The sequence below is a fragment of the Homo sapiens genome, chromosome 7 (assembly GCF_000001405.40).
Source record: "Homo sapiens chromosome 7, GRCh38.p14 Primary Assembly".
Lineage (NCBI taxonomy): Eukaryota > Metazoa > Chordata > Mammalia > Primates > Hominidae > Homo > Homo sapiens.
Window position 1 is genome coordinate 21,522,599 of NC_000007.14, and position 15,494 is coordinate 21,538,092.

The window sequence follows — 15,494 nt, forward strand, 5'->3', positions numbered from 1 at the left end:
ACTCCTGGGTTCAAGTGATCCTCCTGCCTCAGCCTCTCAAAGTGTTGGGGTTACAGATGTGAGCCACCATGCCTGGCCAGTGATAACCTTATCATGTTTTTGCCCACGAGTGGTAGTTTTAAAACTATGTTCACAAATTTTTTGATATTCCTCTCTTCAATAGATGGAGCCTAAGTCCCCTCCACTTGGGTGTGGCATGGACTTAATGACTTGCTTCTAATGAATAGCATAAAGTGGATGTAACAGCTGTGATTTCAGGCACTAGGTCATAAAAAGTCACTGTGGCTTCCCTCTTAGTTCTCTTAGATTGTTTGCTTCAGGGAGGCCACACACTATGTCATACATAATCCTATCAAGAGGCCCAATATTGCTCAGATATCTGGGCAATAACCACCTAAGTGAGCTTGGAAGTGGTCCTCCAGCCCAGTCAAGTATTCAGATGACTGCAGTCCCAGCCAACATTTGGACTACATCTCATGAGAGACCCTGAACTGGCAAACCCAACTAAGCTGGTCCTAGATTCTTGACCAACAGAAACTAATAAATGTTTGTTGTTTTAAACTGCTACATTTTGGGGTAATTTGTTATGCAATAATAGATAACTAATATACCGTAAGTCAACAATTTTCGACCAATACCTTCTGTGCCCTTAAAAGCATAAACGATGCAGCATTTCTTAAAAGGAGCCTCCATTATTATCTTTGGGAATTTTCTCTACACTAATGGTATACATTCTACAAGTTTTGCTGGAGATATATGGGCAATAATACCTACAACATACCTGCCTGTTGGCAGACCACAAATGACACATCTCTCTTTCAAAGATGTTAAAATACGGGGGAAAATGTGCTTCATAGAATCAGTGAAAGACGTTTTAGGTCATGTTTATTATCTGCCTTCCGCCTCCATCAACCCCTTTCTCTCTCTAAGAACTTGATCTTGTCCATTTCAGGACAAACCTGAGGTTCGTAGAGGGTTAGTGTATTTACATCCTCCACTTTACATGCACCGCACAGGGCTTGTATGGTTATGGGGGGAAAAGCCGTTGGTGTGAACTGAAAGAATGCTTTGTTAACTCAAACATTTCTCAGCCCAAGAAACCTTTGCTATGAGTGTCACAAAGGGGAATACCTTCTTTGTGGGGTCCTGAAATTGCTGGGTAAGTGGTGATGGTGGTTGTTGGGAAAGGAGCTTATGATGCTGGTGGAATTTTGGGTCTTAAAGAGGGCATATTAATCTTTAAAGAATTGGAAATATTTCAGTTACATGTAATGGTCTATATCTTGCAACAATTCATTACCAGCATATTAGGTAATGCATACACACACACACACATATATATATATATAGAGAGAGAGAGAGAGAAGCAAGAATGCAAACAATTAGCAGTGCCACACCCAACGGGTGCATAGTCAAAGCAAATATAAAATAAAGACAGAGATTTACCTGACCTAACCACACTGATATCCTCCTTTAATCCTTCTCCAATAAGTAAGATATCACGTATGGAAAGGTTTTTAAACTATTAAGCACTAGACCAATGTACACTTTAATTACATACGTGGGCTGCCTCAATGCTGAGAGAGTGGCAGATCCTCATTTAATTCCCACCTGTGCCTGACTTTGACCACTTTCTCTGAGCTTTCTCTTCATTTCTGATTTCAAGGAAAGGTGTAAGGAACAAAAATAGAAATAATGATGTTTAATACGATTTAGAAGAAGTTCAGAAATAATTGTGCTTATACCCCCTACAACTTAACTCCCTTTCATGTTCTTTGGATGAATTTATTTAATCCCTAAATCTTCTTCCTTCTCTGGAGCTAATACTCCTAAAATAAAGCTTCTTTCCTGTTCTGATTACCTGGAATTTAAATCTCTTTTTACAGATTTATCCTTCCCCCTTTTTCCTTCAGGGGCTCTAACTCTTTCCCTGACTGGAATTTCTTGGGTCACAGAAGTCCCTCCCTCCTTAACATCTTTGTAGTGCTTCTTTCAATTCAACAAATATATGAACAATAGTATTGCTAGAGGGCCTAACTTAGATGCTGCAGGGGATTTAACAAAATGACCCAGTCCCTGATAGTGTCTGCCTTCAAAGGGCTTAAATATTTACAAGGAAATCTAAGAAAACTATACAGTTAGGTATAATGTAGGGTAATGTGTATTATATTGGTACAGAAAAAGAAGACAAGTACTAGGTGAGGACTTCCTCTCCTGAGATTCTTGTGGTGGTTGTTTCCTTCCTTGATCACTTACTTTATTTATTTATTTATTTATTTATTTATTTATTTATTTATTTATAAGACAGGCTCTTCTTCTGTCACCCAAGCAGGAATACAGTGGTGCCATCACGGCTCACTGCAGCCTTGACCTCCTGGGCTCAGTTGATTTTCCCACCTCAGCCTCCCCAGTAGCTGGGACTACAGGTGCATGTCACCATGCCTCTCTAATTTTTAAAATTTTTTTTGTAGAAAGGGGTTTTTCCATGTTGCTCAGGCTGGTCTTGAACTCCTGGGGTCAAGCAATCCACCTGCCTCAGCCTCCTAAAGTGCTGAGATTACAGGCCTGAGCCACTGTGCCTGGCCTTGATTGCTTGCTTTTGACAGTTTTAGTACACCGCAGTTTTTTTCTCTGTAGATATTGCAACATTGTTCTTTCCTATAAATTAATCAGTTTTTCTTTACTATTTTTCCTCCTTTAACTGTTAAATTCATGTTATAGTCTACAGAAATGCTTGTTTTGTTTGTTTGTTTGTTTGTTTGTTTGTTTTGACAAAGCCTAGCTGTAGCCCAGACTGGAGTGTAATGACACAATCTCGGCTCACTGCAATCTCTTGCCTCCCACGTTCAAGTAATTCTCCTGCCTCAGCCTCCCAAGTAGCTGGGATTAAGCGTGCACACCACCATGCCCAGCTAATTTTTTTGTATTTTTAGTAGAGATGGGTTTCGCCATGTTGGCCAGTCTGGTCTTGAACTCCTGACCTCAGGTGATCCACCTGCCTTGTCCTCTCAAAGTGCTGGGATTACAGGTGTGAGCCATTATGCTCGGCTGTTTTTGTTTTTTTAATTATTCTATCAAAACCAGCAGTGGTAAGACCATATCACTTTATTTCTGCTTTGAATGGTCTTTACCTTATGAGTTGACTTCTGCCTGTGATCTGCATGCATCTTCTACTGGTGGATAATCCTTCTCTGCCTCCACCCTTGTCCATGTTATGTATCTGATGACCCAAATAGCAGCTCCCTGTTATATTTGTCCTTCACCTGCTTATTTCTGTCTCTAAACCAGATATTAAAATTCCTCAAGTCACATGGTTTTCTCAATTTTACGTTGTTTTTCTTTTTCTCTTTGCAAAATCTTAAGTTGACCTCAGTCAAGGGCTTCTGCTAGAATAAAGTTCCTTTAACGTTTAGTCATACTTAAAAAAAAAGTAATAAAGTATTCATCATTTATGGGAAATCATGTTAGTGTAAAGTGATATTTCCAATGATGTTATATATGTAGCAGGTGCATCTGAGACAAAAACACCTTCATACCTCCCTTGGTTGACTACCAAATGAATGCTTTTTCCCCTTTCCTCACTAAGAGAACCCAGATTTTCCTCAGGCTCCTCCTAGTGGCCATATTCTTAGAAGGTGGCTGGAGATAATCTTGAACTTGAGAGTGATGATTTAGGATATCTGGTGGAAGAAATTTCTAAGCAGCAAAGCATTCAAAAAGTGGTCTGTTTTTGAACAGCAAAAGCTGTTCTAACAGCTGCTTCTAACAGCATATGGTCATATGCATTCACAAAGAGATGGTCTGAAACTGGAACTTACATTTTAAAGGGAAACAGCATAAAAATTTAGAAAATTTGCAACCTGACCATGTGGTAGAAAAGAAAAACTCATTTTCTGGGGAGGAATTCAAGTGGCTACAGAAATTTGCATAAGTAAAGAGGGGCCAAATGTTAATAGCCAAGAGAATGGGGAAAATGCCTTGAAACATTTCAGAGACCTTCACAGTAGCCCCTTCCATCACAGGCCTGGAGGCCTAGGAGGGAAGAATGGTTTTGCGGGCTGGACCCAAGGCCCTGCTGCCCTGTGCAAACTTGGACACACTGCTCCCTGTGTCCCAGCCACTCCAGCTCCAGCTGTAGCTAAGAGTCCCCCAGGTACACCTCAGGCCGCTACCCCACAGGGTGCAATAAGCCTTGACAGCTTCCAAGTGGTGTTAAGCCTGCAGATGCACAGAGGGCAAGCATTCGGGCTTCAGAGCCTCTGTCTAGATTTCAGAGGATGTATGGAAACACCTGGATGTCCAGGCAGAAGTGTGCTGTAGGGGCAGAGCTCTCCTGGAGAACTTCTACTAGGGCAGTTTGGAGGGGCAATATGTGTGTTGGAGCCCCCACACAGAGTCTCCACTGAGGTCCTGCCTAGTAGAGCTGTAAGAAGAGGGCCACTGTCCTCCAGATCCTGGAATGGTAGATCCACCATTGGCTTGCACTGTGTGCCTAGAAAAGCTGCATGCACTTAGTGCCACCCTATGAATGCAGCAAAGGGGTCTGTATGCTGCAGAACAAGAGGGGAGGAGCTTTCCCAAGGCCTTGGGAGCCCACCACTTGTGTCAGTATTACCTGGTGTGAGACATGGAGTCAAAGGAGATGATTTTGGAGCTTTAATATTTAATGACAGTCCTGCTGGGTTTCAGACTTGCATGGGGCCTGTAGCCTCTTTGTTTTTGGCCAATTTCTCTTTTTTGGAATGGGAGCATTTAGCTAATGCCTGTATCCAAATTATATTTTGGAAGTAACAACTGGTTTTGATTTTACAAGCTCACAGGTGGAAGGGACTTGCCTTGTTTCAGATAAGACTTTGGACTGTGGACTTTTAAGTTAATGCTGGCATGAGTTAAGACTTTGGGGGACTATTGGGAAGGCATGATTGTATTTTGAAATGTTAGAAGGACATAAGATTTGAGAGGGGTCAGGGGCAAAATGATATGCTTTGGATTTGTGTCCGTGCCCAAATCTCATATCAAACTGTGATCCCCAGTGTTGGCAGAGGGGCCTGATGAGAGGTGATTGGACCATGGGGGCACATGTCCCCCTTGCTGTTCTCATGATAGTGAGTTCTCATGAGATCTGGTTGTTTAAAAGTGTGTGGCACTTCCCCCTGCTCTCTATTCTTCCTGCTCCAGCCCTGTAGGACATGCTGGCTTCCCCTTCACCTTCCACCACGACTGTAAGTTTCCCGAAGCCTCCCCAGCCATGCTTCCTGTACAGCCTGCAGAACTATGAGGCAATTATACCTCTGTTCTTTATAAATCGCAGGTAGCTCTTTACAGCAGTGTGAGAATGGACTAATACATTGCCCTTTTCCTTTCTCCTCAGGGCACTCTTTTTCCTTTCAGTTATTCAGAACCTTCCTATTCTTTTAAAATTATCTGCCCATCAAATTTGAAGAGTTGTGAGATTGGATTATTCATCCTTATAGAATAATAGGAGACTGGAAATAATTATGTATTGTTATTTATTAGTCTGGTACTGAAAGCTAAGTATGAATTCATCCTTGGGGTGTTCAGCATGAATACTATTTTCCCAAACAAGAGATTGCATATTTACCATACGTTAGATGGTAATTTAATCTGAGTTATTTAATCTGAGTGCCAGCTGCCTCATATGTTAAATGGAGATAATAACTGTAATATCTCTAGAGTCACTGTGAGAATTATGTGAGATAATTCACATAATCACACAAACTTGTAGTCATCCCCAGACCCCTGGCCACTCCTTCACAGAGCTCTTGGCACACTATCACTCTGTCTAACACTACTTCTGTAACAATTTTTAGTGCTTTCAATAGCCATAGAGATGATTCTTCCAAAGCTTTAATTATGTGACCTCTTCTCTTACAGTGATCCTCAAGTCCACCCTACCTCAGCTACTCACCCCCGTGGCCTTACCCTAGACCTCTTCATTTCCAATAAATGTAAGTAACGGCCCCCATTACATTAATTCACTTCTAACCATTATATTATTGCTGCTACCTCCTATCTTTCTAGCTCACTTACTCAACTACTCACACTTTAAAAATCTTTGACCCTACCTGGTCAAGCAATCCATTCATGTCATTGCCTTTTTATTGCCTCTCAGTTTCTTCATGTCTTCACTTCCCTCCTTACCCAGCTTAGTTATTATAGTAAAATATTAATGAGTCACTTTTATATCCCCTGAACTCTCCTGCCCTAATGCCTCTCAATCAAACTATCCTGGCAAAATCCAAACCAGTCATGGTTAAATCCAGCCAACATAGCTCTAATAACCATGCAGTTGAATAAGGCTGGAGGAAAACATCCAAATCCATGATAATTACACTCAAGTGGGCCTTTATTGCTGCTCTGCAAATATACTATATTCCATAGTTTATTCACTTTTCCAGTCTCCTGAACACTTCCTCCCTATTTTGCATCCTTAGTTGATGACTTTGCTTTTATTTCATTAGACAATAGACACAATCAGGGCCAGCACAGTGGCTTACAAATCCCAGCATTTTGGGAGGCTGAGGTGGAGGATCACTTGAGGCATGAAGCTAGGAGTTCAAGACCAGCCTGAGTAATAGGGTAAAACCCCATCTGTACTAATAAAAGAAAAAAAAAGAAGTTGAAAATAGACATAAGCATCTATGTCTCCCACTCCCACTTTTATCAAGCTACCTATATCTTACTCTGCCTTTCCTCCTTCTTCTATGGATGAAATCTGTGTTTCTAAAGGTTAATCTCTATTTAAGACTAGACTGCATCCTCTTCTTACCTACTCAGAGATAGCAATTCCTTCCTTTTCTCTCCAGCATCAGCAACTTTTCCCTCTCTATTGAATCGCTTTCATCAGAAAAAGAAAATGCAGAGATATATTTTCAAAATAAGAAAATGCCTATAAAAAGAAAACTTTTGTTTCTATACCTACTTTCTACTCCATTTCTCTGTTCCTTCTAGAAAGAGTTTTCCACATTTATTCTCTCTAAATTTTCTTCTTCCACTCTCTCTTAAACTTATTCCAACCAGACTTTTGACCCTACTGCTCCATTGACAGACTTCTTCTCCAAGTCATGAATGACGGCTCCATGTGATGAGGTCCAACAGTTGATTCAAGTCTTCATCTTACTTGACCCCTCAGCATTTGCACAGTTGGCTACTCCCTTTTTCTGGAAGTCCTTTTTTTCCATTGGCTTCTAGAAATCTGCTTTCACTTGGTTCTCTTTGTACATTATATGCTTTTTATTTCCCACTGTACCTCAGCTACTCACCGTCATGGTCTTACCAGAGGCTTCTTCATTTCTGACAATTGAAAGTAACTACTCCATTATTTCATTTCTAATCGATACACTCTCTCACTGCTACCCCCTATCTTTACCAGTTTTCTTTTCAGCGTTCTTTACTTGTGCCTCCTCAGCCTCAGGGTTTGGTCTTTACACAACCTTAGGTAACCTTGTCTAGTCTCATAACTTCAAATATCATTTCTGTGCTGATGATTTCCAGATTTATTTATCTAGGTTGGACCTCTTTCCTGAACCTGTACTATAAATCCATTTGTCATTTCACTATCTCCATGTGAATATTTAATAGACACCTCACACTTAACATACCCAAAGCCAATCTGTTCATTTCCTTCCTCAAATCTATTTTATTCTGCAGGTTTCCTTATCTCAGCTTTTTTGTTTTTTTTTAAGACAGGGTCTCACTCTGTTGCCCAGGCTGGAATACAGTGTTGTGAGTGTGGCTTCCTGCAGCCTCAACATCCTGGGCTCAAGCAATTCTCCTGCTTCAGCCTTCTAAGTAGCTGGAAGTACAAGCACATGGCACCATGCTCAGGTAATCTTTTCAAAACTTATTTTTATTAGAGATGGGATTTCACTATGTTTCCCAGGTGGTTCTCAAACTCCTGGCCTCAAGAAATCCTCCTGCCTCAGCCCCCCAAAGAACTAGGATTACAGGCATGAGCACTGCACCCAGCCTTTCATCACATTTTAAATCTATCCCTTACTTTATCAGAAAAAAATTATATTAATCCATACTCATTACTTTTTATATATCTTATATTCACATCATTAACAACTCCTTGTGGCTTCACTTTTAAAACATATTCAGAATCTAACCACATCTCATAACTTCTCTCTCCCTTTTTAAAAAAATTTCCAACTTTAAGTTCACTGGTACATGTGTAGGATGTGCAGGTTTGCTACATAGGTAAATGTGTGCCATGGTGCTTTGCTGCACAGATCATCCCATCGCCCAGGTATTAAGTCCAGCATCCATTAGCTATTCTTCCTGCTGCTCTCCCTCCTCCCACACCCCACCCTCTGATAGGCCCCAGTATGTGTCGTTCCCCTCAGTGTGTTCACATATTCTTATCATTCAGCTCCCACTTGTAAGTGAGGATGCAGTATTTGGTTTTCTGTTCCTGCGTTAGTTTGCTAAGGATAACGGCATCCAACTCTATCCATGTCACTGCAAAGGACGCAATCTCATTCCTTTTTATGGCTGCATAGTATTCCATGGTGTATATATACCAAATTTTCTTTATCCAGTCTATTATTGATAGGCATTTATGTTGATTCCATGTCTTTGATATTGTGAACAGTGCTGCAATGAACATACACATGCATATATAATAGAACAATTTATATTCCCTTGGGCATTTACCCAGTAATACCATTGCTGGGTCAAATGGTATTTCTGCCTCTAGGTCTTTGAGGAATTGCCACACTGTCTCTCACAATGGTTGAACTAATTTACTCTCCCACCAACAGTGTAAAAGCATTCCTTTTTCTCCACAACCTCACCAGCATCTGTTGTTTTCTGACTTTTTAATAATAGCCATTCTGACTTATGTGAGATAGTATCTCATTGTGGTTTTGATTTGCATTTCTCTAATTATCAGTAATGTCGAGGTTTTCTTCATATGTTTGTTGGCTGCCTGTATGTCTTCTTTCAAGAAGTGTCTGTTCATGTCCTTTGGCCACTTTTTAATGGGTTTTTTTTTCTTGTAAATTTATTTAAGTTCTTTATAGATGCCAGATATTAGACCTTTGTCAGATGGATAGATTGCAAACATTTTCTCCCATTATGTGGGTTGTCTGTTTACTCTGAGGATAGTTTCTTTTGCTGTGTGGAATCTCTTTAGTTTAATTAGATTTCATGTGTCTATTTTTGCCTTTGTTGCAATTGCTTTTGGTGTCTTCATCATGAAATCTTTCCCTGTGCCTATGTCCTGAATGGTGTTGCCTAGATTTTCTTCTGGGTTTTTTTTTTTCATAATTTTGCATTTTACATTTAATCTTTAATCCATGTTGAGTTGATTTTTGTATATGGTGTAAGGAAGGGGTCCAGTTTCAATTTTCTGCATATGGCTAGCCAGTTAATTCTCCCAGTACCATTTATGAAATAGGGAATCCTTTTCCTATTGCTTGTTTTTGACAGGTTTGTCAAAAATCAGCTGGTTGTGTGTGGTCTTATTTCTGGGTTCTCTATTCTGTTCCATTGGTCTTTGTGTCTGTTCCCGTACCAGTACCGTGCTGTTTTGATTACTGTAGCCCCATAGTATAGTTTGAAGTCAGGTAGTGTGATACCTCCAGCTACGTTTTGTTTTTTGCTTGTTTGTTTGCTTAGGATTGTCTTGGATATTCAGGCTCCTTTTTGGTTCCATAAGAATATTAAAATATTTTGTTTCCAGTTCTGTGAAGAATGTCAACGGTAGTTTAATGGGAATAGCATTGAATCTATAAATTGTTTTTGGTAGTATGGCCTTTTTCATGATATTGATTCTTTCCATCCATAAGCATGAAATGCTTTTCCATTTGTTTGTGTCATCTCTGATTTCTTTGAGCAGTGGTTTGTAGTTCTCCTTGAAGAGGTCCATCATGTCCCTTGTTAGCTGTATTCCTACGTATTTTATTATCTTTGCAGCAAGTGTGAATGGGAGTTCATTCATGGTTTGGCTCTCAGCTTGCCTATTGTTGGTGTGTAGGAAAGCTAGTGATCTTTGCACATTGATTTTGTATCCTGAGACCTTGTTGAAGTTGCTTATCTGCTTAAGAAGCTTTTGAGCTGAGACAATGGGGTTTTCTAGATATTGGATCATGTCATCTGCAAACAAAGATAGTTTGACTTCCTCTTTTCCTATTTGAATACCCTTTATTTCTTTCTCTTGCTTGATTGCCCTGGACAAAACTTCCAATACTATGTTGAATAGGAGCAGTGAGAGAGGGCAATCTTGTCCTGTGCCAGTTTTCAAGGGGAATGCTTCCAGTTTTTGCTCATTTAGTATGATATTGGCTGTGGGTTTGTCATAAATGGCTCTTATTATTTTGAGGCATGTTCCTTCAATACCCAGTTTACTGAGCGTTTTTAACATGAAGGGGTGTTGAATTTTATTGAAGGTCTTTTCTACATTTATTGAGATAATCATGTGCTTTTTATCTTTAGTTCTGTTTATGTGATGAATCACATTTATTGATTTGCATATGTTGAACCAGACTTGCATCACAGGGATGAAGCCTACTTGATCATGGTGGATAAGTTTTTGATGTGCTGCGGGATTTGGTTTGCAGTATTCTGTTAAGGATTTTCCATCAATGTTCATCAAGGATATTGGCCTAAAGTTATCTTTTTTTGTTGTATTTCTGACAGGTTTTAGTATCAGGATGATGCTGGCCTCATAGAATGAGTTAGGGAGGAGTCCCTCCTTTTCAATTTTTTGGAATAATTTCAGTAGGAATGGTACCAGCTCTTCTCTCTACCTCTGCTAGAATCAAGCTTTGAATCCATCTGGTCCTGAGCTTTTTTTGGTTGGTAGGCTATTTATTACTGACTCAGTTTCAGAACTTATTATTAGTCTATTATGGGAGTCAATTTCTTCTTTCTCCTGGATTTTCTAGTTTATATGCATAGAGATGTTTATAGTATTCTCTGATGGTTGTTTGTATTTCTGTGTGGTCAGTGATGATATTCCCCTTATCATTTATGATTATGTTTATCTGAATCTTCTCTCTTTTCTTCTTTATTAGGCTAGCTAGCAGTCTATTTTATTTATTTTTTTTTTCAATAAAAAAACAGCTTCTGGATTCACTGATTTTTTTGAAGGATTTTTCAGGCCTCTATCTCCATCAGTTCAGCTCTGATCTTGGTTATTTCTTGTCTTCTGCTAGCTTTGGGGTTTGTTTGCTCTTGGTTCTCTAGTTCTCTTTGTTGTGATGTTAGGTTGTTAAGTTGAGAACTTTCTAGCTTTTTGATGTGGGCATTTAGTGCTGTAAATTTCTCTTAACACTGCTTTAGCTGTGTCCCAGAGATTCTGGTACATTGTCTCTTTGTTCTCATTGGTTTCAAAGAACTTCTTGATTTCTACCTTAATTTCATTATTTTTTACCCAAGAGTCAGTCAGGAGTGGATTGTTCAATTTCCATGTAGTTGTGCTGTTTTAAGTGAATTTCTTTTTTTTTTTTCTTTTTCTCTCTTTTTTTTTCAGACAAAGTCTTGCTCTGTTGCCCAGGCTGGAGTGCAGTGGCACAATCTCAGCTCACTGCAACCTCCACCTCCTGGGTTCAAGTGATTCTCCTGCCTCAGCCTCCCAAGTAGATGGGATTACAGGCACGCACCACCATGCCTGGGTAATTTTTGTCTTTTTAGTACAGATGAGGTCTTGCCATGTTGGCCAGGCTGGTCTCAAACTCCTGGCGCCAAGTGATCCACCTGCCTTGACCTCCCAAAGTGGTGGGATTACAGGCATGAGTCACCGCCCTCGGCCTTGAGTGAATTTCTTAATCTTGAGTTCTAATTGGATTGTGCTGTGGTCCGAGAGACTGTTTGTTATGATTTCAGTCCTTTTGCATTTGCTGAGGAGCGTTTTACTTCTGATTATGTGATCAATTTTAGAGTAAGTGCCATGTGGCAATGACAAGAATGTAAATTCTGTTGTTTTGGGGTGGAGCGTTCTGTAGATGTCTATCAGGTCCACTTGATTGAGAGCTGAGGTCAGGTCCTGAATATGTTTGTTAATTTTCTGTCTCAATGATCTGTCTAATATTGTCAGTGGGGTGTTAAAGTTTCCCACTATTATTGTGGGAGTTTGAGTCTCTTTGTAGGTCTATAAGAACTTGCTTTATGAATCTGGGTGCTCCTGTATTGGGTGCATATATATTTAGGATAGTTAGGTCTTCTTATTGAATTGAATTCTTTAACATTATGTAATGCCCTTCTTTGTCTTTTTTGGTTTCTGTTGGTTTAAAGTCTGTTTTGTCAGAAACTAGGATTGAAACCCCTGCTTTTCTCTGCTTTCCACTTGCTTGGTACATTTTACTCCATCCCTTTATTTTGAGCCTATGTGTGTCTTTGCATGTGAGATGGGTCTCTTGAAGACATCATACTGATGGGTCTTGATCCTTTATCTAGCTTGCCATTCTATGTCTTTTAATTGGGGCATTTAGCGCATTTACATTTAAGGTTAGTATTGTTATGTGTGGATTTGATCCTGTCGTCATGATGCTAGCTGGCTATTTTGCGGACTTATGTGGTTGCTTCATAGTGTCACTGGTCTGTGTACTTCAGTGTGTTTTAGTCATGGCTGGTAATGCTTTTTCTTACCATATTTAGTGCTTCCTTTAGGAGCTCTTGTAAGGGAGGTCTGGTGGTAACAAATTCCCTCAGCATTTGCTTGTCTAAAAAGGATCTTATTTCTCCTTTGCTTATGAAGCTTAGTTTGGCCACATAAAAAAATCTGGGTTGGAAATACTTTCTTTTAAGAATGTTGAATATTGGCCCCCAATCTCTTCTTGTTTGTAGGGTTTCTACTGAGAGGTCTGCTGTTAGTCTGATGGGCCTCCTTTTGTAGGTGACCTGGCCTTTCTCTCTGGCTGCCCTTAACATTTTTTCCTTGGAAAATTTGATGATTATGGGTCTTGGGGATGATCTTGTGGAGTACCTTACTGGGGTTCTCTGGATTTCCTGAATTTGAATGTTAGCCTGTCTTGCTAGGTTGGGAAAGTTCTCCTGGATAAGGTCCTAACATATGTTTTCCAACTTGGTTTTGTGTCCTGAATTGGTGGGTTCTTGGTCTCGCTGACTTCAAGAATGAAGCCGCGGACCCTCGCCATGAGTGTTACAGTTCTTAAAGGCGGCGTGTCCGGAGTTTGTTCCTTCTGATGTTCGGATGTGTTCAGAGTTTCTTCCTTCTGGTGGGTTTGCGGTCTCGCTGGCTCAGGAGTGAAGCTGTGGACCTTCGCGATGAGTGTTACAGCTCTCAAGGCGGTGCGTCTGGAGTTGTTCATTCCTCCCAGTGGGTTCATGGTCTCACTGGTTTCAGGAGTGAAGCTGCAGACCTTCCTGCTGAGTATTACAGCTCATAAAGGCAGTGTAGACCCAAAGAGTGAGCAGCAGCAAGATTTATTGCAAAGAGCGAAAGAACAAAGCTTCCACAGTGTGGAAGGGGACTCAAGCGGGTTGCCACTGCTGGCTCAGGCAGCCTGCTTTTATTCTCTTATCTGGCCCCACCCACATCCTGCTGACTGGTCCATTTTACAGAGAGCCTATTGGTCTGTTTTACAGAGAGCTGATTGGTCCGTTTTTACAGGGTGCTGATTGGTGCATTTACAATCCCTGAGCTAGACACAAAAGTTCTCCACGTCCCCACTAGATTAGCTAGATACAGAGTGTCGACTGGTGCATTTACAAACCCTGAGCTGGACACAGGGTGCTGATTGGTGTGTTTACAAACCTTGAGCTAGACACAGGGTGCTGATTGGCGCATTCACAGTCTCTGAGCTAGACACGGTGCTGATTGGTGTGTTTACAAACCTTGAGCTAGATACAGAATGCTCATTGGTGTATTTACAATCCCTTAGCTAGACATAAAGATTCTCCAAGTCCCCACTAGACTCAGGAGCCCAGCTGGTTTCACCCAGTGGATCCCACACCGGGGCCGCACGTGGAGCTGCCTGCCAGTCCCACACCATGTGCCTGCACTCCTCAGCCCTTGGGTGGTCAATGGGACTGGGCGCCGTGGAGCAGGGGGCGGCACTTGTTGGGGAGGCTCGGGCGGCACAGGAGCCCACAGCATGGTGGGGGTAGGCTCAGGCATGGCGGGCTGCAGGTCCCGAGCCCTGCCCTGCGGGGAGGCAGCTAAGGTGTGGGGAGAAGTCAGGCACAGCAGCTGCTGGCCCAGGTGCTAAGCCTCTCACTGCCCAGGGCCAGCCGCTCTGAGTGCGGGGCCTGCAGAGCCCACGCCCACCCGGAACTTGTGCTGGCCCGCAAGCGCTGCATGCAGCCCTGGTTCCCACCCGCGCCTCTCTCTCCACACCTCCACGCAAGCTGAGGGAGCCGGCTCCGGCCTTGGCCAGCCCAGAAAGGGGCTCCCACAGTGCAGTGGCAGGCTGAAGGGCTCCTCAAGCACGGCCAGAGTGGGCACCAAGGCTGAGGAGGCGCCAAGAGCGAGCGAGGGCTGTGAGGGCTGCCAGCACGCTGTCACCTCTCAGTTTCATTCTCTCCATCTCCTTCAGGGACGCCAATTAGTCATAGATTTGGTCTCTTTATATAATCCTATATTTCTGAGAGGTTTTGTTCATTCCTTTTCTTTTTCTTTTTTTTTTTTTTTTTGAGACAGAGTCTCGCTCTGTCGCCCAGGCTGGAGTGCAGTGGCGTGATCTCGGCTCACTGCAAGCTCGACGTCCTGGGTTCACGCCGTCCTCCTGCCTCGGCCTCCCAAGTAGCTGGGACTACAGGCGCATGCTGCCACGCCCGGCTAATTTTTTGTATTTTTAGTAGAGACAGGGTTTCACTGTGTTAGCCAGGATGGTCTCGATCTCCTGACCTTGTGATCCACCCGCCTTGGCCTCCCAAAGTGCTGGGATTACAGGCATGAGCCACCGCGCCTGGCCTGTTCGTTCCTTTTCATTCTTTTTTCTCTATTCTTAATCTGCCTGTCTTATTTCAGAAAGATAGTCTTCAAGCTCTGAGATTCTTTCCTCCACTTGGTCTACTCTGCTATTAATACTTGTAATTGAATTGTGAAGTTCTTGTAGTGTGTTTTTCAGCTCTATCAGGTTGGTTATGTTCCTCTCTAAACTGGTTGTTTTGGCTGTCAGCTCCTGCATTGCTTTTTGTTTGTTTGTTTGTTTGTTTTGAGATGGAGTCTTGCTCTGTCGCCCAGGCTGGAGTGCACTGGCACGATCTCGGCTCACCACAATCTCCGCCTCCCAGGTTCAAGCAATTCTGCCTCAGCCTCCAGAATAGCTGGGATTACAGGCATGTGCCACCAGGCCTGGATAATTTTTGTATCTTTAGTAGAGACGGGGTTTCACCATGTTGGCCAGGCTGGTCTTGAACTCCTGACCTCATGTCATCCGCCTGCATCAGCCTCCCAAAGTGCCAGGATTACAGGCGTGAGCCACCACGCACAGCTCCTGCATTGTTTTTATCAAGATTCTTAGCTTCTTTGCATTGGGTTACAACATGCTCCTTTAGCTCAG